We start from the raw sequence: 27,510 nt of genomic DNA, 5'->3' as shown, positions 1-27,510 counted from the left end.
GCTCAGGAGGCCCAGCTGCTGAGGGGTTGCTGTGATGGAGGAGTGAGTCATGGGGCCTGGAATCTGAAGCCTTCCAGACCTTCGCCCATCCCAGCCAACTTCACATCTGCCATCCAGATGTCTCCACTTCGGAAATGCTTTCTACCAACTAGGACCCAAGGTCGGGGGGCATACTTGACCTTAGAAAAATACCTTCAGGTTGGGTTTGGTGGCTCATGCCTGTAATTCCAGCACTTTTGGGGCTGAAAGGCCAGAGGATCACTTGAGCCCAGGAGTTCGAGACCAGCCTAGGCAACATAGTGAGACTTCCCAACCCAGCTGTCTCTACAAAAAAAAAAAAAAAAATTAGCCAGGCAAGGTGGTGTGTGCCTGTAGTCTCAGCTACTTAGGAGGCTAAGGTGGGAGAACCGCCTGAGCCCAGGAGTTCAAGGCTGCAGTGAGCTATGATGGTGCCGCTGCACTCCAGCCTGGGTGACAGAGCAAGACCTTGTCTCTAAAAAAACCGAAAAATAAATAGGAATAAATAAATAAAAAATACCTTCAGAACCTCCTTGGTCTCCTTGGTTGATTCTCAAACCTAAACCTAACTGGGTGCCTTTGTTCCAACCATTGATAGTCTCATGCTGTGACCAAGCTTACTGCCTAAGGGCCCTGAACATGGGGGATCTGATGGAGGAACAGAGCCCCAGCCTGCAGGGAGTTCCCAGGCTGATGGGCAAGGCACAGTTCCTAATCTCATGGAGGCCCCAGGCTGAGTAGGGAACACAGCCAAACACAGCCTTGTCCTTAACCAGATCCTACACTAATGGAAGAGACAGAACCCTGCCCCCAGGAAGCCTACTGCCTAATAGGGAAAAACTTCTGTATCTGTGGGGAGCTTCCAATGTCCAGAAAAAAAGGACTCAGAAGAAAAATCTAGAAACATGGATAATGGAAGTGAAGGAAACTAACTTTTATTGAATGTCTAGCATATGCCAGCTACTATACAGATTTAATCTTCTTTAATTCTCACAATTACCTCATTTACAGTCAAGGAAACTAAAGCACCCTGGTTAGTTACCCAGCTAGTAAGTAAGTAAGTAACAGAATCAGGATTTGAACTCAGATCTGTGCAGCTCCCACATCCTGTTTTTGCGTAACACCATGTGTGATGGGGCAGATTCGTTTACCTTCTTTTCCCACATCACCCTTTAGGCTGGGAGCTAGTTCTTGTTTCCTGTTGCAAATCACCATTCTCACAACACTAAAAATTACTACACTTAGGACTACTTCATTGACTGACAATATCCCACTGTCCCAGCAGCAAGAGGGACTGCCGACTCTGTCCCTTTAAAATGAAGAGAAGGACTCACAAAGGAGCTCCCATCCTCCACTAGCAAGGGGTCCCACCCACCACAGAGGCAAGCTGTGGTCAAGGCAGGGGCTTCTTGGGGTCTCATGGAGAAAAGGTTCAGAAATCAAAGCCCCACCCCAGGTTGGTCCCAAGCCAGTCACTGGATGAACACACTCCCTGGTACCTGTGGAAAGAGTAGCGACTGCTGCACGCCACTGGAAAGCCTGTGGTGGTGGCAAATGCAACGGAAATGCTGACTATGTTCCCTGAGCCCACTGTCTGCTTTGTGGCACCCAGGGCTGGCCTGGAATAGCAGCCTGGCCTTCCCGTCATTGTGCTGGAGCTCTGGGAGGTCTCGGCTCATGGCAAGGATCCACAGATCCCAAAGCCTTCTGTGGCTCCTCAGTCCCAGGGAAGGGGCTCTGCAGAGACAGGAGATAAAAATGCTGCCACGCAGCAACAGAGATGCACATCTGTACAAACATCAGTGTCTTTCCACGGGAACAGTGACTTGGGCATTGAAGGACTGGGAGACAGGATTTCATTAAATATCCTGTTTCTCAGGGCCTGCTGTGGGGCAAGAGCTCTGGCAAGGAACCTAGGGTCCATTGCCAATTCCAGCTCCTCCTCTGCTTCTCTCTGGCACCCCAAACACCCCGGATGCAGGGTCACTGGGCTCTTGCCTGTTGGTCACCACACCAGGATGGCCAAGGCTAGACCACTAGTAGTTTGGGATCTTCAATGGGGCAAGTTGTTCTGGCCTGGCAGGAGGGATATGCTGATGGTGGAGGGGAAGCTGGCGCTGGCTAAGGGGTCCATAACCCAAAGGGAAGAAGATTCCATAAGAAGCAGCAGCCAGGCTGAAAAATTATTGACCTTTTGCTCTTGCCATCAAATAGCATTCTAGCCTGTCCCATACTCTATCACCCAAGATCCTTAATGGGTTTTACATCCTGAAAAAAATGAAAGTTACATGAGAGAAAGCAAGAATCTTGGTTTTTGTTGAGGAGGGGTGTGGTTTATAGAAGATGGAACCTAAATCAAGAATAGGAGAGTTTTTTGATACCACCCAGCAAGGCAGAGGCAAACACAACACAGAGAGACAGATACGGTTCTGCTCTTCCCATCCTCTGAACTTCCTCGGCCGCCCTACCCTGCCTGGCTTCCCGCACAGTGCAGGACTGCCCCAGCCTGAGCCTCTCACCCCAACTTTCTTCCAGTCTGAGAAGGAGGGGACACGTGCCTGTGGGACCTGCTTCCTTAGCCCACAAGATGCAGAGCTGCGAGCTGCCTGCATAGGAGAGGAGGGCGTGGGGATCGGGCTGGGTTCTGCTGGGCAACTGCACCCTCTGGTGGCGGCAACAGGAAGATGCAAGGCCATGCAGACAAAGGCCGAACCAGATTCTTCCTCCTTCCCAGAATCCCTCTACACCGCCTTTATTAAGCACCTATTGGCGGATGGCACGGGGTTCTGTCCAAAGAGAAGTGGATGGACACTGCACTGTTCTTAAGGGCTGCTAAATGAAACCTGCACAGGAGAAAGGAGGCTAATCCTTCCACAGCTCTGGGCTAACAGGCCTTCCCTTTCCTCACACTCCAGCTTCAGCGATCAGTGCTTCAATGGACAATTTTGCTGCCCTCTGCCCACATGCATGGCACCTCGACCATCATCTCGGACAAAGCTTCTCACCTCCATCAAAACCCTGCTCCCAGTCGTAACTCTAAGGACCCTCAGCCTCCCCCAACCTACAAGAGACTTAAAAGCAGCAACTGTTGGAAGAGCACTGTTCCTGGTGGTTTATGTGCGAGTCTCCAGTGTCAGATCCTCCAAGGGTGTGCTTCTGGTCTCTCCAAATGGATGGGGAGCTTCTCAAGGGCAGGAAACATTTATTGAGCATCTATTTCATAGCCAGGCCCTTTATAACCACAATTCATGGTAGCCTCTCGGCAGGCCCGTAAGGACCATAAATAACCCCCAATTTACAGAGGGGAAACGGGCTCCAGAAGGCCAAGAGCTATCAACAACCCCTTTCCATATGCCTGGCGCTATGCTAAAGGTGTTATACGCGTTATCTCCTTCAATCCTTGTGAACAAGGTTATCCAATGAGCTAGGTTAAAATTATTCCCATTTTACAGATGAAGGTGTTGGGGCTCAGAAAACGATACCCCATAATATGGCCTTTTGACATGCTGAACTAAAGAAGCAGACTCAAGGTACCTCTGACTTCCCCCACCCCAACTCCTGCCTCTCAATCATCCATCTTTCTCAAAGCACAGGATGAGACTATTCTCTGGAATTCTCTTATCTCCCTAGAAGCCAGACCCCAAAGAGGAACACAATTGCTTTTGATTCCTTCCCTGAAGTTTTATTAACCATAGAAGATTAAAATTCATATCACAGAGGAAGAGACTGAAAATTAAACACCACACCTGTGCCGGGCGCGGTGGCTCACGCCTGTAATCCCAGCACTTTGGGAGGCCGAGGCGGGTGGATCACGAGGTCAGGAGTTCAAGACCAGCCTGACCAACGTGGTGAGACCCCGTCTCTACCAAAAATACAAAAATTAGCCAGCGTGGTGGTGTGCGCCTGTAATCCCAGCTACTCAGGAGGCTGAGACAGGAGAATCGCTTGAACCCGCGAGGCAGATGTTGCAGTGAGCCGAGATTGTGCCACTGCACTCCAGCCTGGGCGACAGAGCAAGATTCCATCTCAAAACAAACAAACAAAAAACACCACACCTAGATCCCAGACAAATTTTGTCCCAAACCAGTGTTCGTTCTTTGGTTCCATTCAATTCCCAAAGAGAATGATTTACTAACCATTATCTGAGCACTGGGCTCATTCATTTCCCCGAAAAATCACTGCCTACTCTTCAAAATGGCCATATGGCCCGCATTTCCCCTTCCCCTATGTAGAAGGGTATATAAGCCTCTGGACCTCACTGGGTTATGGAGTGACCATTCTCCTGTGATTCCCATGAGCTTATGCACGTTAAATAAGTTTATCTGCCTTTTATCTACATATCGTCAGTTTATTTTCAGTGAAGTTTCAGAGGGTGGTGGGAAAGCTTTCCCTTGGCTCCTACAAAGCACGAAAACATTGAGGGGATAAATAATATGCACGAAGTCGCACAGCTAGGAAGAGGCAGCAGGATAGAAACCCAGTTCTGTTTCACCCTTATTCTTATCCCTGGTTTCTGTTTTTGTTTTTTGGAGTCCAGGCCTCCTCCTTTCTGCCCCTCCAAGCCCCTTGCGCAGGGTTCCATGCACAGCTCAGTCACCGCCCAGCACATAGATGGCTTCCTTTCCGCAGCCCCTGAGGAGTCCTTTCGTCCTTCTACAGCCAACTCCAGAAACTACATAGAGTGCTTTCTTCCTGTCTCTCTTCATCCCTTCCACTCCTATTGGAACAAAACCACGTTTGACATTTCTCAGCATTATTACATTAAACAGGCTGGATCTCAGCCAGCTATTTCTGGGCTTTAATTACTTGTTCTATCTAGCCTAAGTGGTGTGGGCAAGCCGGTCCTCAGTTAACCCACCTGAAAACTGGGAAGATCAGGAACTATCTCCTAGAATTTGATTACCAGCCAAGGACGGTGCTAATTTGGAGGTGGTAGTTAAGTGTTTTGGGGAGGCTGGGTGGTTTCTGACTTTAATTCTCTCTAAGACTAGCCCAGGGGAACCTCTGGGGCCACAGTGCAGCTTTGTAAGTGATCTCCCCATGGGGAGTAAATGTCCTGGAATCAAGCCCTAAGGCAGGCCCCTAATTCCTTGCATGTGTGATTGGGCACACAAGCCTCAGGACACGTCTGAAGGCTGTCCTGTGGGCTGTGCTGAAGGACATTGGACAAGCACATCCCCCAACCCTTTGTCTTTCTTCCAGAATCTCTTGCATTGTTTCACAAAAGGAGCAGCACAGAAGTTGAAATTCACCCAGGCACCTCAGAGGGCATTGGGCTCCTGCCTCAGGTACTAATTGCAATCCAATCTGGCTGAATGATTGGGGCTGAAATGTGGCATTTCACCATCACAGTTGGTGCCGTGGGAATGCATAGAAATCTTCAACTTGACACCAAACTGGACTTCCCTAGGGCTTCCTAAGAGAAACAGTAGATCATTTTCATCTCAGCCCCCTCCAAGCCTTAAGTGGGGGCCCTGTGGTCTGGCAGGATCATGGAGTCAGGGTTCCCGGGACCCTGGCTGACTCATCTTCCTCCTTTGCACCAGAGACGAGTCTACTGGTCTGAGCTTTTGCCTGAGATATTTGCCCGTAGAATTAAGCCCCTGTTTTTACAGGGGGAACACTAATGATTTTCTAGGGCTCTCCATTGAGAGGTCACTTGAGACCCGTTTTCCACACAGGCATTTGGAGGATGGTGCTCTTTGCTGGTGAGGAGAGGGGCATTTCTCCAGAGAGGGCCCCAAGGACTGGTGGCAAGCCTCTATGGAGGGGGCAGGGCTGGTCCTTAGACCTCTGCTGCTGGCCCAGGTTGGACTAAGGTTGGGGCTAGGACAGCAGAGGGGAAGAGTCCAAGTATTTTTCTCCCCTTGCCTGGAAGGCCCCCCAGTTCCCTCCCCTCCAACCCAGTCTTTGCCTGACTTAATTCCTGCAAGCCCAGGAGGAGGAATTCACCTCCCAAGAGGCCCTTCCTGCCCCTCCAGGGGTTACAGTCCCTCCACTGTCCCCCCACTGTCCTGAGCTATTACAACTGGGGTGTAATCACTGGTTTGCTTACCAGACCTTTTTTTTTTTTTCTTTTTTGAGACAGGGTCTTCCTCTGTCCCCCAGGCTGGAGTGCAGTGGTGCGATCTCAGCTCATTGCAACCTCTGCCTCCCAGGTTCAAGAAAGTCTCCTGCCTCAGCCTCCCGAGTAGCTGGGACTACAGACACCCACCACCATGCCCGACTAATTTTTTTATTTTTATTTTTTGTAGAGATGGGGACTCTGTATGTTGTCCAGGGTGGTCTCAAACTCCTGGGCTCAAACAATCTACCCACCTTGGCCTTCTAAAGTGACAGGCATGAGCCACTGCTCCAGGTCTCAGACTATTTTTTATAAAAGAGCGTTATACTGTTTGTCCTTAGCACCTAGGACAGTCCTAAGCTGTGGCTAATATCTAGTGAATGAATGAATGGATCAGTGAATTAATGAATGTGGCATTTTCAATCCCCACTTTCGGACCTGAAATCCTAAGTCTCCCAACTCAAATACCTCTTGGGCCTTTTCCACAGACTGTTCTCTTGGGGTTCCAGATAGGCCGACCTCAAGTAGTACCCCAGAAGCTGTTATTAAATCTGCCCCGCCCCCCGCCCCCCATCTCCCTTCACAGCACCTTTGCTCCAGCACCCGGGAACCCATCTGGCTCCCGAATCCCCACTGCCCCTCCCTTTTCTGGCCTCTCTTTCGGAAACACCTTTTTCCTGCCTCCATTAGGCCGCTGTGTTTCCTGCACAGGAAGAGGGCCTTTTGATTCCAGGGTGCTATTTATAGCAGCCCTCCCTCCTTCTGAGCCTCACTAAGGTAGGGGTGATGGCGCAGGGGATGGGGATAGAAGATGCTTGGGACTTTCCAGGGTCCCGGCCACCAGGAGAAGAGGGCTGAGTTCCCAAATGAGGGATGGAACCTAGAGGAAGCTTCTGATCCCCAGACTGGCTTACCCTCCTGACTTCCCCATATCTGTTAGTAGCTCCACAGCTCTCCCAGGCCCCCAGACTCAAAACCTCAGAGCTTCAGAGTCAAGGAGTTGTGGGATTTACATCTAGGGAAGACATTACAGATCATTTTGTAGATGAGGAAACTGAGATCCAGAGAGGAGAAGAGATTTGAACGAGGTCACATAGAATGTTAAAAGTAGGTCTCTGGCCAAAATCTCCCCTGATTCTTGCCTTACCTGCAACAATGACAAAGGATTGCCTCATTCAATCTTGTGGCAGGTGGCATGTTATGGGTTGAATTGTGTCACCAAAAAAGATAATTGAAGTACTAATTCCCAGTGTCTCCGAATGTGACCTTATTTGGAAATAGGGTCATTGAAGAAGTAATTAGTGAAGATGAGGTCATACTGGAGTAGAGTGAGCTCCTAATCTGGTATGACTGCTGTATTTATAAGGAGAGGGAAATTTGGACATAGACATACACAGAGGGAAGAGGATGTGAAGGCCACAGGGAGGAGATGGCCATGCAGCGGTGAAGGCAGAAATCGGAGTGATGTGTCTCTACACCAAGGGATGACAAGGATTGTCGGAAAGCACCGGACACTAGAAGAGGCAAGGAAAAATTCTCCACTAATTTCAGAGGGAGTATGACCCTGCCAACACCTCGATTTCAGACTTCTACCCTCCAGAACTGACACTATAGATTTCTGTTTCATTAAGCCACCCACTTAGTGGTACTTTGTTATGGCAGCCCTAGCAAACTGATCATTTGATGGATAAGGACTCTAAGACTGAGACAGGTTAAATGAGTTACCCAGGTTATATGCCAAAAGGTGCAGGAGGGACTCAACTTTCAGTCCAGTGCTCTTCCAAAAAGACTGCACGACTTTTGGATTCTGCTCTCTGTTGTGTCCCTCCCATGTTCCACAGTCATCCAGTCCTGTTCGGTTTTCCTTTGTAAAAAGTCTCTCCCACGGCTCTTCCTTTCCTTCCCCAGCAGGGCCGCCCTAGCCCAGACTTTGCATGTCAGGAACGTGACAGTACATCTGCTGGCCCAACTCTCCCTCTTCCAAGCCATTAGTTGGTCCCACACCTCTTTATGGAATGCCCACTGCTTGCTAGGTTCTGTGCTATGTGCTGGCTTCCCATCGGTGAACAGAACAGACGTGGTCCCTGCCATTAGGGCCGTCCTGCTGGTAAAACAGCTTCATCATGTCACTTCTTGGCTCCGGGTCACCAGTGTCTCCCCACCACAGGCTCCAGTCTTGCACGTGGACCTGTGTTTCCCACATGCAGGGCCAGACACCCCTGTCTGTCAACACGTGTCAGCTCAATTCAGATTAAAGAATAACATTCTGTCTTATGGGGAAACCAGGGGCCCCTCTACAAATGATCTGAACTTCCCAGCTCCAGGAGATAAAGGCAGCTCCAGTCCATGGAGGGAAGAAAAGGCATTATGGTCTTTTACAGCAAGACACAGAAATGGGGAAGTTGTCTGGGAACAAAGAAGGTGACACTGAACACTTTAAACATCCACTAAGGACCGACCAGCTTAACTCTCAAAACCCTGGCAGATACTCTATTGATGCTGGATAGATGTGAATCCTACCGCAATGAAAGGAATCTCAAGTTTCCTCCCATAAACAAACTGTGGCACATTCATACGTCAGAAATTAAAAGAAGCAAAATACATCATTCAACATGGATGAATCTCAAAAACATTATGCTGAGCTAAGAAGCCAGACACAAAATAGAACCTACCACATGATTCCATTTATATGAAGTTCAAGAGCAGGCAAAACTAATCTATGATGATACGAATCAGAACACGGAGACAGTGGGTGGGAGCACATTGACAAAAGGGACAGGAGGGAAATTCTGTGGGTTGATGGAAATGTTCCATATCTGGATCCGGTGTGGGTCACATGGGCGTATTCATTTGTCAAAAACACATCGATCTGTGTGTTTCACTGTTTGTAAATTATACCTCAATTAAAATAGAAGACAATAGAATAAAAGAAGAGAAAAGGATTCCCTCCTTCTCGGTTGGAACACACAGTGGCTGGCCTTTTGCAGGTGAATATACCCTCACATTTTCTCCTGCTTCTCTCTCTAGACCTGAAATCTGGCTCAAGCTCTGTTCACTCCTCTGGCTGAGTTTAGGAAGCAGCCCAGGCTCTCTACAAAGAGGCAGATGGAAGCAAACAGAGCCGGCAGCCCTGGCCCATGGGCCACTGAGCACAGGCTCTGTCTGGCTTTGTGAGTCAGGCCTTCACCACAGAGGTATCCAGGCTGAGCCCTCCCTGGTGTCCTATTGCCTGGAGATGGCCCCAGCCTGTATTTTGGCTCACAAGCCTCGAGTTTATCATTTCAAATCTCCCACCTTACCATATATTTTGCCTCAGCCACATCTGCGGCTCCTCCTTCCAGAGCCAAGCGGGTGCTATTTACAATGCCCTGGAAACACAGCCTGGGCCAGATAATAGGCCAGTGTTGCCAAACAAAACCCCAGGCCACTCTGCCCCCCTCGTCCCCTGGAGGCCTGCAGTCTGGAGCCCAGAGGGGCCTGAGGGACCATATATCTTAGAGCCAGCACCACAGATAACCCTTCCACCCGTCCATCTGACCCTCAGACAGGGAAGCATCCCCTGTCTGATACGTAAACATCCATTTGGGGATAAATCTACCCCGAAGTATAGTCTGCATGGCTGGGGCTAAATGAGGCATCCTTGACTTCGCTCCATCCCTTTGCCTGTCCGGTGTACGTTCGGTGGATCAAGGATTTATTTTATACATGGGGGTGCAGCGAGCCACGGGGCATCCAAATTAAGGACCATAAGAATGACCAACATTGGCTCTAGGCCAGAGGGTGCTTAACACCTTCTAGGATGATCTTCACAATTCCCTGGCCTGAGTATTATTGCCCCCATTTTACAGACGAGAAAATTGAGGCTCAGGGAGGTTGTAGGAACCCGGGTCAGGCTGACTCCAAAGCCTGTGCATTACCCCACATGCGTCAGAGCCCAATGTCAGGGAGAGGTCAAGGAAGCAAAGAGGTGGCCTCTGAACAAGCCAGGGAAATTCAGCACCTTCAGCGCTCCCGTGGGCAGGAGAAAGGGAAAGGACATTCCCTTTACCCACCTCAGCTTAAAGGCATCCCTTACCCCCAACCCCGCCACCCTGCCAAATAATCAATCAACAAATGTTTGCTGAGCCCCTACTGTGTATCAGGACCCAACTAAGCTACTTCCAAGTGCTAAGAGCGGCCAACTCAGAGTGGCATTGTGGGCTTTCCTCTGCCCTGGGAGGCCTTTCCCAGACTATCAGCATGCCAGCCCTGACTCGGCCTCTGGCCCCCTCCCTGCCATCCCAAACACAGAGGCCTTTGTCTTTGTCACAGTCTCTGTGGCCAGCTCAGCAGTGGCCATTCCCATCCACTTCCCACAGCCACCCCCAACTCTGTGGTCACTTTCTAGGCCTCCCTACGGCCCCTGATTTCTTTCTGGCCATGGCCAGCAAGAGGAAGTGGGGAGATGACTAAGAGGGGTGATGTGGCATCTTTGTGATGACATTTAGTAAGGAGCTTGGTAATGAGTGACAGAGAGACACTGGATCTCACAGGAGATGTGTAAATTGGGAGGGGCCGGCTTATTAGCTCCAGACCGGCTAAAAAGCAGAGGAGTTTTAATGGGTTGCCAGCCTAACACAGGCCTAAATTCATGCACAATGGTAATTTTCAACTCTGATGAGAAAATGAGAAACAGAACCTCAAAACGTAACACTTTTACGTTATTTTTTTGACTGGGTAAAAATGAGCAGAAGTGATAAAATTGGTGGTGTACTTTAAAGTAGCTTTTATTGAGAAATAAATCTCAAGCGCTTGTCAAAATAAATGTGATAGCAAAGTAAATTTAAAAGCTCAATATGATTTCTGCATTTGTATAACAGACATGATGTCTGTGGTTAAGTTCTATGAGCCATTAAAGACACTGTGGCGCTGGGCGAGGTGGCTCATGTTTGTAATCCCAGCACTTTGGGAGGCCGAGATGGGAAGATCACTTGAGCCTCGGAGTTCCAGACCAGCCTGGGCAACATAGCAAGACCTTGTCTCTACAAAAAATGTAAAAGTTAGTCAAGTGTGGTGGTGTGCTCCTGTAATCCCAGGTACTCAGGAGGCTGAGATGGGAAGATCGCTTGAGCCTGAGAGGTTGAGGCTGCAGTAAGCTATGATTGCATCACTGCACTCTAGCCTGGGCAAAAAAGTAAGACCCTTTCTCAAGAAAAAAAAAAGAAAGACACCAGTCCACTGGCCCCTTCTGCTATACATGACCCTGGAGTGTATTGGAAAGGACAAAGACCAGGAGCTGGAAGACTTGGGTTCCCCAACTCATTCCCTAAAGTTATGTGGCTTTGGGTAAGTTACTTAGCCTCTCTGAGTCCGATTTTGACATCTACAGAAAGGGAAATATTTGTCCTGCCCACCTCATAAGGTTGCCATGAAGAGTAAACGAGAGGATGGATATGAAGTCATTCAGCACGGACCATAGAGTAGACCAGAGGAACCTTTGCAGTGAAGGCCTGAGGAAGAACTCTGATAGCAGGATGGGATTTAGGTTATGGAACTTCAGTCAAGCCAACCTCCATCCTCTGGGTCAGGTGACTGCTCCAGAGTGGTGTGGGTCTCAAACATTTGCCGAGAGGCCCTTCAGGGCCATACATAGACCACCCACCCCACATGTTCCCAGGACAGAAAGTGCAGAGCCGAGGAGCTTTTCAGAGGCCCTGGGTTCCCAAATACAAACATAAAACTACAAAATTGAAGTTAATCAAGATTTAATCAAACATCTATAAAATGTAACATTGTGTCAACTTCTTCAATACTTAACTTTAGCTTTCACAAAAATGCATTCTATTTGAAAATAACTTACAGATAAAATTTTTCTTCTGATCCAGTAATTTCTGCATATGTTCAGGGTTACCAAGAAATAGCCAATTTAAAATTATTAATAAATGAATTGCTGATAACCAAATACTTTTAAAAGTGAAATTATAGGCCAAGGATGGTGGTTCACCCTTGTGATCTGAATGCTTTGGGAGGCCAAGGTTGGGAGCAATCCTGAGGCCAGGAGTTTGGGACCAACCTGGGCAACATAGCGAGACCCCATCTCTACAAAATATACAAAAATTAGCCGGGTGTGGTGGCGGGCGCCTGTGGTCCCAGCTGTTTAGGAGGCTGAGGCAGGAGGATCACTTGAGCCCTGGAAGTCAAGGCTGCAGTGAGCTGCATTGGTGCCACTGCACTCCAGCCTGGGCAACAGGTTAAGACCCCGTCTCTTAAAAACAAAAAAAAAGTGAAATTATAATTTTTTTTAAATTACAACAAATATTTAGCAATTCATGTGGGATGTAGGGTGTTGGGTGCATCCTTATGGGCATGCTGCGTCCTGGAGCTCTTTCTGGGTGAGCATGCCCGGCGGGCACCCAGGTCTTTTTTTTTTTTTTTTTTTTTTTTTGAGATGGAGTCTCGCTCTGTCGCCTAGGCTGGAGTGCAGTGGTGAGATCTTGGCTCACTGTAAGCTCCGCCTCCTGGGTTCACGCCATTCTCCTGCCTCAGCCTCCCAAGTAGCTGGGACCACAGGTGCCCACCACCACACCCGGCTAATTTTTTTGTATTTTTAGTAGAGACAGGGTTTCACCCTGTTAGCCAGGATGTTCTCGATCTCCTGACCTCATGATCTGCCCGCTTCAGCCTCCCGAAGTGCTGGGATTACAGGTGTGAGCCACTGAGCCAGGCCGGCACCCAGGTCTTAAGACAGTCCTCTCTGTGGTTGCTGGGCAGGCTGTAACCTGCCCAGCAACCACAACTAAGTATATTGAGCTCTGCTTAAAGATTATCAGTAAATGTCATTTACATGATCATGACTACATAAATATTATTAAATCCCAGCCTTAGATTTCCTTCCTCCAAGGCCAGGCCTTTTGTCCTGCTCACCTCTGTGTATTTAGAAGCCAGAAGGCCAGGCGCGTTGGCGCATGCCTGTAATCCCAGAACTTTGGGAGTTTGAAGCAGGTGGATCGCTTGAACCTAAGAGTTTGAGACCAGCCTGGGCAACATGGCAAAACCCCCTCGCTACAAAAAATGCAAAATTTAGCCAGGCGTGGTGGTACATGCCTGTAATCCCAGCTACTCGGGAGGCTGCGGTGGGAGGATCATCTGAACCTGGGGAGGTTGAGGCTGCAATGTGCTGTGATTGTTCCACTGCACTCCAGCCTGGGTGACAGAGTGAGACTTTGTCAAAAAAAGAAAGAAGGAAAGAAAGAAAGAAGGAAGGAAGGAAGGAAAGAAAAGAAGGAAGAAAGAAAGAGAGAGAGAGAAAGAAGAAAGAAAGAAAGAAAGAAAGAAAGAAAGAAAGAAAGAAAGAAAGAAAGAAAGAAAGAAAGAAAGAGAAAACTAGAATATCTGAATTTAAAGCCTGCCTTCCTCACTACTGTTTTGGGTGGTCACCATCAAATTGTACAGAAGACCTTATAATAACAAGCAACAGTTTCCTGTCCCACCTCTTCCCAACTCCATTCTATTGTCCAAATAGTTTTCTGTTATTAGCTCCTTTGGTGGTTATCCACGTAAACTCTAGATAACATACTAATAACTATTCCCTGTTTTGTCACCTGTAGACAATATCTATCATTACCAAAGGAGTTAGACAAGTTTAGAGCACTTACACTAAACCCGACTCTCTTTCTCCTTTTCTTCCTCCCAATATTTGATTTTAGTTACTTTTATGAGTTATCTTGTACCTTTGATCTTAAAATTTGGTTTCTTGTTTTCTAACACTTTGACAGACTCTTGAATCCCCTCAGTAGAAGAGGAGAGTATTAGAGACCCTCCTTTTCCCTCTTCTACCTCTCTTCTTCAGTCAATAACACCTTTATTCACTTATTTATTTATTTTTATTTTTTTAAGAGATGGGATCTTGCTCTGTCACCCAGGCTGGAGTGCAGTCGTGCAATCATAGCTCACTGCAACCTCAAACTCCTGGCTGGGATCAAGTGATCGATCCTCCTATATCAGCTTCCCAAGTAGCTGTGGCAGGAGGACCATACTATAGGCATGTGCCATCATGCCCAGCTAATTTTTTAATGTTTTGTACAGATTGGGGGGTGAGTCTTGCTAGGTTTCCCAGGCTGGTCTTGAATTCTGGCTTCAAGAAATCCTCCTGCCTTGGCAGTTACACCTTTATTGATAGCTATTTACAGCCTGCCCAGCAACCACAACTAAGTATATTGAGCTCTGCATAAAGACTATCAGTAAATGTCATTTACATGATCATGACTACATAAATATTATTAAATCCCAGCCTTAGAGCCTCACTTTCCTCCTCTGTCAAATGGGGACAGCATAGCATGTGCTAACACCTCATAAGACCTAGTGGGCTGGGCACAGTGGCTCACGCCTGTAATTTCAGCACTTTGGGAGGGCGAGGTGGGTAGATCACAAGGTCAGGAGTTTCAGACCAGCCTGGCCAAGATGGTGGAACCCCGTCTCTACTGAAAATACAAAAATTAGCCGGGCATGGTGGCAGGTGCCCGTAATCCCAGCTACCCGGAAGGCTGAGACAGAGAATTGCTCGAACCTGGGAGGTGGAGGTTGCAGTGAGCCGAGATCATGCCACTGCACTCTAGCCTGGGCAACAGAGCAAGACTCCGTCTCAAAAAATAATAGTAATTTAAAAAAAGACCTAGTGAAGAGGATACAGAATGTGTGGAATGTAAAAGACGCAGGTTTTTACAAATATAATCTCTTATTTTTCTATCATTACATATGACATGCAGCATGGAGTGGTAATAATGGCTCATACTATTTGGGCAACTTAGATAACTCTCTGAACTGCAATTTCCTAACCAGTAAAATGGAGAGAATACTAGTACCTATCTCGCTAAGTTGTTGGAACGATTACATGAAATGATATAAGTCAAAGTGCTTCTCCTCCCGTGGTTCACTATCCCAATTTTAGGGATCATGACCTTATTTCCCTTTTGCTGAGAGAGAAAATTCCAATTTAGGCCTTAACTGAGCAGGCTGTGGGTTGAGAAAAAGTATACAGCACTCTCAAAAAGGCATTTGGGAAACTACTGGAAAATCTGATTCTGGCCATATATTAAACAATTCTGTTAAATCCAGTACTAACGGGTATGATTGTGGTGCTGTAGCTTCATAGAAGTATGTCCTTGTTTGGCCGGGTGCGGTGGCTCACACCTGCAATCCCAGCACTTTGGGAGGCCGAGGTGGGCGTATCACCTGAGGTCGGGAGTTTGAGACCAGCCTGACCAACATGGAGAAACCCCGTCTCTACTAAAATTACAAAAAAATTAGCCGGGCATGGTGGCGCGTGCCTGTAATCCCAGCTACTCGGGAGGCTGAGGCTGGAGAATCGCTTGAACCCGGGAGACGGAGGTTACGGTGAGCTGAGATCGTGCCATTGCACTCCAGCTTGGGCAACAAGAGCGAAACTCCATCTCAAAAAAAAAAAAATGTCCTTGTTCTTTGGAAATAACATGCTTAAGTGTTGAAGGGTTAAGTATCATGATGTCAACAAATTACTTTTTTTTTTTTTTTTTTGAGACAGAGTTTCATTCTGTCTCCCAGACTGGAGTGCAGTGGTGCCATCTCAGCTCACTGCAACTTCTGCTTCCCGGGTTCAAGTGATTCTCCTGCCTCAGCCCCCTGAGTAGCTGGGATTACAGGCACCCACCACCATGCCCAGCTAATTTTTGTATTTTTAGTAGAGACGGGGTTTTACCATGTTGGACCAGGATGGTCTAGATCTCCTGATCTCGTGACCCACCCACCTTGGCCTCCCAAAGTGCTGGGATTACAGGTGTGAGCCACTGGGCCTGGCAACAAATTACTCTTAAGTGGCTCAGAAAAATATTATATAGATTGATCTATATACAGAGCAATCTAGCAAAATGTCAACAATCAGTGAATGTAGACATTCATCGTACTAGTCAGTCTTTCACCTTCTCTACTTATCTGACGGTTTTCAAAATAAAACCTTGTGTGTGGGGGAACTTGCACCATAGGAAAGCACCTTAACTGTCATGTGGCCCTTTCCCCTCCCCCTGGGAACTGCGCATGGGCCCTGAGGGTGCAGCTTCCACAGACTCACCCAGTGAGGTAGGGGTAAGTGTGGCTGACACCTTCTAAATCTACTTGGTAAAGCGAACTATACCCAGAGGGCGATGAAGAGCACAAAAAGCCAGGGTCCAACGGGCAGCACGCAATAGTGCAGGGTATGCCGTGCAATCCAGCCCTCTTCCTGAAGCTCTGGGGAAGGAGAGCCAGAGGGGCCATACAGAATGGTCCCAGATGAGAGACAAAGGCAGGCAGCTGCTTCGTATGGGTCCTGGCTGGGGCCCCCTAACCGTGTGTCTCATCAGCTGTCTCTCCTTTGTTAAAGGAAAAGCAGGAAGAGAGCAGTTGGTATCTTGGCATTACCCAGAACCCAGATACTCCTTCCCAGTCAACTCAATTATCTGCACCAATGAACTGGGAAAAAGGCACTGGTAACTGACTCTTGAAATCCTTTATTATGGACCTATTCTATGCTATGCTTGAAGTCTACCAAAAAATTAGATAACACCAAAACCAGATGAAATAACTAAACAACAAACAGTAAAGAGCAAAGATACAGTCAGACTCGTTCCTTTATGCCTTCATTTATCCCTTCTGCATCAGCCCAGTTCTCTGGTTTTCAGGGGCAATCTACAAATTGAAAAGAAAATCTGCTTTGTCTATCTGATAATAAATAGGTGATCTGCCTATGGCTAACCTGTGCCAGTAAGCTCATAAATGGAGTGGTGCACCTCACTCTGGACATGACACCTTCAAAGAAGAGAAACTAGCATTTAAAGGGTGATGCATATAATGAGGAAGGTGAGTAAGAAATAGGATGAGACTGGGCATAGTGGCTCACGCCTGTAATCCTCAACACTTTGGGAGGCAGAGGCAGGCAGATCACTTGAGGCCAAGAGTTTGAGACCAGCCTGGCCAACATGTATCTGGAATAGAAAAAGCTACATGCCTGGGTGACAGAGAGAGAGATTCTGTCTCAAATAAAAAATAAATAAATAAAAATAAATAAATTAATTAAAAAAAAAAAGAAAAGAAAAAAGATTAAATCTGGCATTTATTAAGCACACACATTGAGCATCCCAGAGACTGAGTCAGGTCTGACATGGTCTCACTTGATTCATGCAATCACTCTTTGACTGTATTTTTTGAAATTGCCAGATCATAGGAATCTATGCAGGTGTGGGGTTGTGGAATGACGAGGAGGAGAAGGAAGAGGTTAGGACTGAAAGCTGAGGCAAGTTGGAAAACATTGTCCCAGGAGTAAGGCATTTTCATTCCACTTTTCCTGGGGAAGAAACAGAGTCTCTAAGAGATTCCATGGCCTGCCCAAGGTCACACAGAGTGTAGCGATGATGCTCATGTGGAGGATATAATTTCAATTGCCAATATTTCCTAAATGCTCATCTCGCTAAGGACTTCAGGTGCAAAGTCAATGTTTGAACCTTGAGTTCAAGTCTTAGTTATGTCATGGTCCACAATCTTGCTATTACGTCATATATCAACCTTCCTTGAAAAAACATGGGGACACATCCAGTGAAAATCTGAAGGAAGTGGGGCTGCTGAGACCAGAGAAGAAAAGATGGGGACAGATGCATGGTAGTTGTTCCCAAATATTGAAAGGCTGACACTCTGTAGGCAATCACACTTATTCTGCATGACTTATTTTGAATATCCTCCACTTTATTCAGGGATGCATTTTGGTGAAGCCCACTAAGCTTTTGGGATCTTTCAGCGATGGGTGGAAGTCATATCCCTGACAGATTAATACAATGAGGAACTCTGAGAGACAGAGCTGTCCAAATATAGAATAAGATGATTTCAACATAGTGTTGCAGGAATGCCCCAGCAACAGAGGTGTCCAAGCTGGATGACCTCTGAGGGGGATGTTTTAGGGGGATTTGATGTATCTGGAATAGAAAAAGCTACATGACACTTAAGTTTCTTTCCAACTTTGAAAGTTTCATTTTACAGAAGTTGGTATTTACTCTATTTACAAATGGATTTTAAAATCAGGGAAGGGATGTAAAGTGGGTCAGTATTACCGACCAGATGGGGAGGGAATTGCGTCATTGAAAGCTGTGACCAGTCAAGGGTTCCAGCGAGTAAATCAGCTCAACCATTGAGTAGTTCTAACCCTCACAGTGCATCAAAATCACCTAGGGAGCTTTTAAAAATGACAGACACTGAAGCCACATTCCAAACCAAGTGAAGCTGAATCTCTGGGGATGGGCCCAGGAATTGGTCATTTTTAAAAGCTCCCCAGGTGGTGCTAATGTGCAACCAAGATGGAGAATCCCTGAGCTAGAGGAAATGAAGCCCGCGCTGAGGCTGGGCGTGGTGCCCTCTGAGTCTCAGGATGACCAGCAATCAGTTCATCTCTGCATCAGGGCCAGTGGTGGCCCCTCCGGCTGGAGGGAGTTGGTGGGAAACTGGAAGACAGGAAGATACAGCCCTTTAACCCTTTAATGCCTAACTTCTAGTTATTAAAAAATGTTCACAAATTCATAGAGATGGGAAGTAAAATGGCGGTTGCCGGGGCCTTGGGGAGGAGGGAAGGGGAATGGAGAGTTACTCTTTAATGAGTACAGAGTTTAAGTTTGGGAAGGTAAAAAAGTTCCAGAGATGGCTACAGGTGATGGTTATACAACAATGCAAATGCATTTAATGCCACTGAACTGTACATTTAGAAGTGGCTAAAATGGTAAATTGTAGGTTATACATATTTACCACAATATAATTGTTAGATGTTTAAAGTACACTAATTATAATGAAAAGTATAATTAAATACATCAACCCATCCTAATGTAAAATGTTAGCACTTAGTCAAATTTTGTTGTCTTTTTACAGGGGAAAAAAAAATGAAACTTTGCAGATAAAAAAAAAAAAATTCAGAGGGATTTATCCCAGGACTAAAAGAGTGATTCAACTTAAGAAAAACAATCAGTGTAAGGCACCACACTAACACAATGAAGGAAACAAAAAACAAGCCACAGGATTATCTCGAGTGATACAGAAAACAAGCATTTGACATAAAATTCAACACCCCTTTGTGATTAAAAAAAAATGATTAGAAAACTAGAAATAGAAGATGATTTCCTCAACACAAAGGACATTTATGAAAAGCCCACAGCTAACATCACGCTCACTGGTGAAAGGCTAAAATCAAGAAATCCCCCTAAGATCAAGAACAAGAGAAGGATGTCTGCTTTCACCACTGCCACTCAACATTATACTGAAAGTTCTAGCCAGAGCAATTAGGCAAGAAAAATAAATAAAAATCATTCAAATTGGAAAGAAAGACGTAAAACTATTTCTATTCACAGTTGACATGATCCTATGTATAGAAAATCCCAAAGAATCCAGAAACAAAAAAGCTACTAGAGCTAATAAATTCAGCAAAATTGCAAGGGACAAGATCAACACACAAAAATCAGCTGTGTTTCTACACACCAGTAATACACAAGCCAAAAAGGAAATTAAGAAACAATTCCATTTATGAAAGCTTTCAGAGCATCTGAGGATTGGATATCAGAACAGTCTTGCAGTCTTTTGAAGTGGAATCATCTTGTTAGTAACGGTCCTTGGCAGAGGCACATGCATCAGAGCCTTTAATTTTATATGCATATTAGTGCATCTCATATTAAAATTAAGTAGAGCAAATAGATTTGATGGGGTGGTAGTGTGAACTGCACAGGACATGTGTAAGAACCTGAACCACATCCACAGGCAGGTCAGAGTGGCCTGGGTCTCAGCCATCCTGCCTCGCTTCACGTCTCAAGAGTCACAGGATGCTGGGAAGCAAAATCGCAGGCCTCTCGGAGGAAATCAGGCCTGAGTCAGCCTTCCCAGGAGGTTAAGGGAACAGATGAGGCCCAGGAAACGGTTTACTGTGGAGGGTGTTTTTCGCTAGACTAGTTGGAGGGGTATTTTTAAGTTGAAGAAGGAACTAAAAGTGTTTTTAATTATTATTTTTTGTGTGTGACTAGGGGCCAGAAAGACGAAGTGTTTGCCAAGTATTGCCACATTTCTTAGCTCTCCATGTTCCAGAGACTCGAAAAGTTGATAGATGCTTCCATCACAGAGATAGCTGTCTTGACCCTAATATGTTTCTGTTCCTCTCTCTAGCTAAGAGGTAAGTAACATCTGCTGAGATGGAAACGCTAGGAAGATAAAAATTCCCAGTGATTTGCTGAAAGGGAATGAGCCCTAAACTGAAAGCCAGGAGCCCTGCATTCTAGGCGGGCTTCTGCAGTACCCCAGTTGTGTAGCTCTGAGCCCATCCCTTCCCTTCAGTGGGCCTTGATTCTTGCCTGTAAAGGGGAGAAGAGCAGGGGTTGGGAGGAGTGGAGATCCTTTTAACTTTGACATTCTGGTTTTTCTTAAAGGCCAAACCCTTCAAGAAGTCAAAAGAACTTTAAAAGAAGAGGGAAGTGACACTGATTGGAAATAGGAAGGCAAAAATAGAGACAAATTGTAAAAGATGGATAGGAGATTTTTCTATTCTAGGCCACTCCTTTCTACTGGGCCCAAACTGAGTTGATACCAGAGGTTCACAGGGACTCAGGAGGGGGCTAGATTAGGCAAGAAAGGAAAAACAGCACTCCTTTAAAAAAAAGATGGAGTTTCACTCTTGGCCCCCAGGCTGGAGTGCAATGGCATGATCTCGGCTTACTGCAACCTCTGCCTCCCGGGTTCAAGCAATTCTCCTGTCTCAGCCTCACGAGTAGCTGGGATTACAGGCACCTGCCACCACACCCGGCTAATTTTCATATTTCTAGTTGAGACAGGGTTTCACCACGTTGTCCAGGCTGGTCTCGAACTCCTGACCTCAGGTGATCCGCCCCTCTTACGGGCATGAGCCACCGCACCTGGCCAAAACAGCATTCTTGTTTTCAGTTTCCCCAGGCCAAGGTTTATCAAAGAAGCCAGATCCCAGAAAAAGCCCAAATATTCAAAGCTTGCCTACTTACCCATGGGCAAATCAACATTTTTATGAACTGCTTTTGAGGGAAAAAGAAGTAGAGGGGGTCTGGGGGAGCAAATTAACTCCCAAAGAATGAATAAATGGCACTTAAATGAGATAGGAGGCCTTTGAATGCTACTTAGTTTTTCTCCCCAATTCTATTAGTTTGGCAAGCATCTATAAAGTGCCTACTGTGTGCTGAGTGTTGTGGGTGGTCAGATAGGGTGTTTGGCTGGAAGGTACTCACAGGAAGATAGGCATGTGCACAAACACCCAAATATCTAAAATACAAAGCATGGCACACTGACAATCAACAAAAACAAAAAATGCAAAGCAGAATGTGAGACCTGCCCCAAGGGAAATCAGATAAACTGCTGAAGAAGTTCAGATCAGGGGCTGTTCTCTTTCACCCGGAAATGGTGTTCTCTTTCACCTGGTGTTCTCTTTCACCTGGAAAGTTCAGGAAATAGACCCTAGGGGCTGGAGCCCAAATCTGAAAAACCTTCTTTATTCTTCCAACCGTAGCGATTTTTTCCTGGCTCCACTTTACAGAAGTGAAAACCAGGACAGAGACATGAGGAATTATTTGCTCTCTGATCATCCAGGTGGTTAGCAACACAGCCAGATAGAGAACTACAAACTGATGATTGAAAACTTCCCCTAAAAACTGATGGTGAAAGCACATACTACTAGGAAGCTCATCTTAGAAGACAAAATCCATAGAGCTGTTCCCTCTGTCTCCCTTCTTAGGTCAATCCCAAAGACACACCAACAAAAAGTCAAAGCAGGATTTAAAAAAATGTCATAAGCAAGCTGGAATCATATATATCTCTGGCCTAAAGGAAGCCAAGGTCTCTGCAGTGTCAGATCGTCAGATCCTCCTCCTGGGGAGGCCATTCTTTTTGCGAAGTCTCCAGTCCCATTACAAGTGAGTTGCCGGGGACTTCATGTAGGGGGAACAAGAGCTAGCCCACAGATGAAAACCCAGGCAAGCCCTCTGCTTTTGCACAGTGAACGAACGTGCCCACAGGCTTCTCAGCATTGAATTTGAACGAGCCAATGGTATCCCAATCATTGAAACAGGAAGCCAGATAAACAGCATGTTATCAAGGGGGGATCCAGCTCTTCCCTTAAGCCGGCGCCAGCTGCGCCCTGTGACTATCCTAACAAAGTCCCATTGACTCACCAGCTGATTTTCCTGTGTTCGGCTCCAGGGGACAAGGAACCCTCTCTGCCGGGTGGACGTCACCCCTACACACCGCCCCCGCCACCCGCCACTCGCGTCCTCTCCAGTTCCTGCCTCCCCTCTGCCCGCTGCAAACTTAGCTGCTTCTTTATCCTATGACCAGTTTTTATCGGCTCTGGGGATTAGCAGGGACCAGAGCCCAAGCCTCGGGAGCGCTCAGGTGAGCTCCCCGTGATCACCCAATTTCTGCGTTCTCCTCTCTCCCCTCTCCTCCGGGACCACTTTCTCCGCTCCCAGACGCACTGGGCGGGCGCCAGAGAGGACGGCCTCCGGGAGATTGGCGGGAGGGCGCTTCCCGGCGCATCCCGGGGGTGCGGGGAACGTTTTCTGGAACGGCCCGCGAGGTCACCTGCCCCAGCTGTTCCTCTGGCTCCTGCTGGGATGGGAGGAGTTAACTCTTGCTTCAACGAAAGGCAGAGGTGCGGGTAGGGTGTGTGCTTGCCGTGTGGGTGCGAGTATAAGAACGCAGCACCTGGTGTCTCATGATAAGATCTCAACGCACTTTAAATTGTGGGTATTTCACAACAAGGAAACTGAGGCTCAGAGGGACTGAAGTTAGGCAGCCCCCCCGGAGAGTCAACTCTAGAATCAAACGCGCAGTCAGTCCCATAGGGGTCGAAAGGGCACACACCTTCCCGGGAAGCCGCGAGCATCTTGGTTGTTATTTATTCCAGCGCCTCTCCCGAGCCCAGCCCACAGCCTCCCTCGGGCACCAACCTCCCCTACCCCGAGACTTGGTCTCGGCCTCGCAGGACCTGCCAGCCAAGCCTCGCAAAACGGGAAGCGCCAGACCCTCAGCGCCGCGACCGCGCGACCGCCCCGCGCCGGCCACTCACCGGAGCGCCTGCCCGCCCGGGCTCCGGGTCCGCGCCGCAGCCGCGCAGAGTCGCGCATCCCCAAGGGCAGCGCGGGTGCGGGGTCCGCTTCTCGCGAGCACAAAGTTTCCCGGGGCTCCCCAGGCCGCCTCGGCCCCTCGCACCAGGCTTGGCGTCCGCCGCGCACTCCAGCCTCGGGCCCCGCACTAGGGCAGCCGCCGGCCCCGGCCCCACAATGAGGAGGGAGGCGGCATCCTGAACAAAGTGCCGTCCCCTCGGGAACGGCGGCCGGGGCGGAGCCTCGTGACCCGCTGCCCCAGGCACACGCCGGCTGCCTCCACGGCGGGCCCAGGAGGGGAGTGCCTGGCGGCCGGGGGGCGGGCAGGAGGAGAGAATCCGTCCGATCGCCCTGGCTTTCCTCCCCCTGCACTGTGCCAGTTTAACCCGCAGAGGGGCGGAGGCATGGGTCCCTTCCAGACTTTGTCATTGGAAAGCTATTCCCGTAACCCTTTGCTGCCTTCGCCTTCCCGTCCCGCCTCCCAGGCTGGCCGCAGAAAGGCGGCTGCTCGGTGGCGGACCCGCGAGCTGGCAGGGCAGGAAGCCTTTGCACAATTGAGCCTTTCCTTTGCCCGGGGACCCGCCACCGCCACTTCCAGGCCGGGTTTCCTCCCTCCCCCACATGTCGTCCGGGTACCGCTCGCTGGTTCAGCCGCAGTTCTTTAGGAGAAGGGGACAGATGGATGGGCCAGCCTCTCCACCCGACTTCTGACCCCGGGCACCCACCTCCTTTCTTTCTCCACCCCACTGAACTGTCATGCTGTCTGAGCTGTCTTAGAGGAGGGGGAGGCCCCGCAAGTGCCCCGCAAATAGTAGGTGCTCAGTAAAATAAGTGACTTCTCCCCACCTTCCAGACAGCCGATGCCCCTCCTCCTTCTTCCAGGGACTTGGGAGTGGGAGGAGGGGGAAGAAGAGGAGAGAGGAAATGACAGGACCTGAGGAGAGTGAATGGGAGGAAGGCCCTCAGCCAGAACCTACTGCAGAAGCAGTGCAAGCCCCCTGCCTCCTGGCTTGGGGACTTCCAGGGTCTGCAGGAAGAAGGCAGAAGGAAGCCAGATGACCTGAGCTTTGAAGCAGGCTTTGGAAAGGGAGTAGCTGTGGCCAAGGACCCAGCAGATTCCCCTGCTCCTGCCAACAAATAAGAGGACTGATCTATTCCCAGGGCCATGGGGTTGCAAGTTGGAGGACTGATGGATAGAAAGCAAAACTGCCTACTCCCTGGGAGGTCTCACAGCTCTTTGCCAGCAAAATCAGTGTGAGCAGAGTCAGGATGAGAGCCCTTGAGTCCTCCCTGAACGCCCCACACAGTCAGTAAGGCCACAGTGGCTTTGAATTTGGAGAGATGAGACACCAGACAATGGACAAGCAGTGACATTCAAGAAGTTCCCAACTGATCAGGGAAAAAGATTTGTTGTATGATTTTTGTCCATGAAGGGAGTGAACTGCCTTTTGGCGCGGGATAAGGGGGTGGACTGCAGAGTGACACCCTTACCCTCTGTATAAAGACTAGAAGTGTGGGCTCTTAAGGCAGACTGCATGAGTTCAAATCCTGGATCAATGATTTTTTAGCCATGGGAACTTACTGAACTCTTTAACCTCTAGCTACCTCAGTTTCTTTATCTGTAAAATGGGATAATAATGGTTCCTATCTCCTAAGAGTGTTGGGAGGATTAAATGCGATACTATAGGTGACACACTTAGAATAGTGCTTGGCACATAGTAAATGCTCAGTGAACATTAGCTGTTACTTTGATCTTGGAGTAACTAACTCTTGGAGATCTAACTCTTGGAGATCTAACTCTTGGAGATGTAACTCTGCGCCCAGTTTGGCATTCAATGATGTGCTAGCTAGAATCCTTTTGTGCTCTTCCCAGTCCTGCAAAGGGGAGCCTAGTCCTTTAAGAAGAAGCACTGTCCTTTCTTGAGAGCTCAAAAGGTGGGACCCCAGGGACCAAGGACCACACAGTAGGTATGCAAATGACTATCAGAAGGTGAAATGACTCCTTGACCCATTGTGAGGCTGGATGCATAGCCCCCATCCACATTGGTAATGCTGGGATGATGTCATTCCTTGGGTGCTACCCAGAATGGAAAAGAAAGCCAAAGCTATAATTTCGTAAGGGTTAGATCTCTTCTATCAGTACACAGGATCAATATTTCTCTCCCACTTATGAGTGGCTGCTCATACAAGTTCTCCCTCACCCTGCTCCTAATGTCCCAATCAATATGGGTGACGGGATCATTTGTACCCCAAGCCTCAGCATCACACAATATACCCAGGTAACAAGCCTGCATATGTACCCCCTGAATCTAAAATAAAAATTCAGAAAAATGTCCCACTCACAGATTTCCAACAGTGAACCTGTATGTGTAGGCAAACATAATAGCATATGGACAGGTTGAGGGAGGAAGGAGTAAAGGGGCCAGTCTGGTTGGGGTGACAGGCAGAGGATATGAAAGCTACTGAAAGAGAAAGTGGATAGGACAGAGCGGCAGGGAGGAGAAGCCAGAAGAGACTCTGGACAGAGCACTGTTTGGGTAAGAAACAGGGTCCCGCCCATCCCAGAAGTGGCCTCTGCCAAATGCCTACTTTGTGAGTAGTTTTTGTCTGAACACAGTGATGACTCAGTTGCTCTGAGTCTAGCAAATGGATTTTCCTTAAATATGAAAATCAATAAGAGGTAAAGGCAAGGACCTCGCTGTGGGGAGGGGAGGATGGAGAGAGTGGGAGAGGTGCTGGGGCGTGAAATGATTTGTGAGTGATGGAAGGAGGGAGATTCAGGTTCACTGCAGGAGACCCTTGGCATAGTCACCTGTACCCCCACTCCCCACCGAGAAGGTGGCCTCCAGGACCTGCTGGCCTCACTGAGGCTCCTTAAAACCCAACAGCCCCTCTGTTCCCCTCCTCCACAGCTTAGAGCCAATCCTGCTTTGGGACAAGATGGGTAGCGAAAGGATTAATGTCAACCTGACAAATAAGTTTTAAAAAATCAGCCCAGAAGCTTGCTGTCACTCCCATAGAGTATCAGATCCGGCCTCCGACGAGATGAGAGTTTTGGGAACCCCAGGAAGTATGGCAAGTGACATTTTCAGCCCCAGCCTGATTTCTTTGGGGGCTTTGCCTGTTTTCCTGCCGCCTTGAGGTCTGTGGACCAATGCTAATTTGTTTCTTGGGTTATCTGACATGGGACTTTGAGGATTTGAACACACTCACAGCTCCTGCGTTCCACGTGGCCCACAGGGAGACTGTCTTTATCCTTCGGACTGTCTTGTTTGGGGCTCCCAGAGCAGTTTGTAAGGTCCTTGGCAGGAATATGAAGATAGCACATTGCTTTATTTTCTTGAGCACTTAATAAGCGTCACTGGAGCTTCTAAGGAGGAGTCCGAGGCAGCTTCTGACTTCCTCCTCTGAAGCACAGTGGAAAAACACTGGGCCCAGCTTCAGAAGACCTGACTCCATGCCTTGGTTCTGATGCTGGCTGAAGTGCATCACCTCAGTTTGCTCATCAGTAAAAGGGAGTGTTGACACCCAGAGGACAAGAATACCCACCTACCAAGGGCATGGTGAGTATTCAGTGAGATCATGGAGGAGAAAATGGTTTCTGCAGTGCTGCTCACATATAAGCAGAAGTGGGATTATCAAACAGAAAGCATCAGCTCATATTCCCAACCCCGCCCCACCTCCCCACCCCAGTCAAATTCACTGTGGTTATGGGCTCAGTGCTTGAAAACCCATTTTTCAGTGATAGAAATCTGACTGGCCACTAAAAATCCTTGTCCTTTCTAGCTTGATTCATTAACCAGTGAGGGGTTTCCTAGGCTAGTGGAATGGGGTTGGACATGGGCAAAACAGGCATCTCCATCCTTGGCCACTCGGGCCTCATGACTGGCCCTGGGCCCCCTTTAAGAAGGGCCCTCTGTGTTGACTGTTGGAGCTTACAGGGACCTGGGAGAAAGAGTCCATGGGGAAAAGCTGTCAGAGTAATGAATGTTTTACGAGAGTGAGCGAGTCACTGCCTTATCGGGAAGATGCTGTTTCTCACTCTCTCTCTGTTACCAGGAAGTGAGATGTACTGAAAGCCATCGTGGTGTTTTTCCAAAGATGGCCTTTGAAGAGGAGGTGTTTCTTTAAGGGGCCCAGGAGAATAGGGGTTGGGTTTGCAGGGAGAAAACCTGCCCCTTTAAGAAGCCTGGTTCTGGCTGTGGCAATCCTGTGGTATGGAAGATAATAATAGTCCCTACTTATATAGCATTTGCTGTGTGCCAACTGCTATGCTAAGCATTTAACATATATTAACCC

General features: G+C 48.1%; 1 protein-coding gene and 1 long non-coding RNA gene across 4 annotated transcripts in view; one reads left to right on the top strand and one right to left on the bottom strand.

Moving 5' to 3' along the window:
- Window positions 1-23,390, bottom strand: part of NAV1 (neuron navigator 1) — a 287,843-nt gene extending 264,453 nt beyond the window's left edge. For all 3 annotated transcript variants that reach the window (NM_001389617.1, NM_001389615.1, NM_001389616.1), the window contains exon 1: window positions 23,175-23,390. The gene's annotated coding sequence lies outside the window, so the exon portion shown is untranslated. The remainder of the gene's footprint in view (window positions 1-23,174) is intronic.
- LOC124904484 (uncharacterized) overlaps window positions 22,372-27,510 on the top strand; it is a 30,422-nt gene continuing 25,283 nt past the window's right edge. The window contains exon 1 of the long non-coding RNA XR_007066793.1: window positions 22,372-22,498. This is a non-coding gene — a long non-coding RNA (uncharacterized LOC124904484). The remainder of the gene's footprint in view (window positions 22,499-27,510) is intronic.

The sequence above is a fragment of the Homo sapiens genome, chromosome 1 (genome assembly GCF_000001405.40).
Source record: "Homo sapiens chromosome 1, GRCh38.p14 Primary Assembly".
Taxonomy (NCBI): Eukaryota; Metazoa; Chordata; class Mammalia; order Primates; family Hominidae; genus Homo; species Homo sapiens.
The sequence above is the reverse complement of the archived record's forward strand: the minus strand, read 5'-3'. Positions and strand labels throughout refer to the sequence as shown.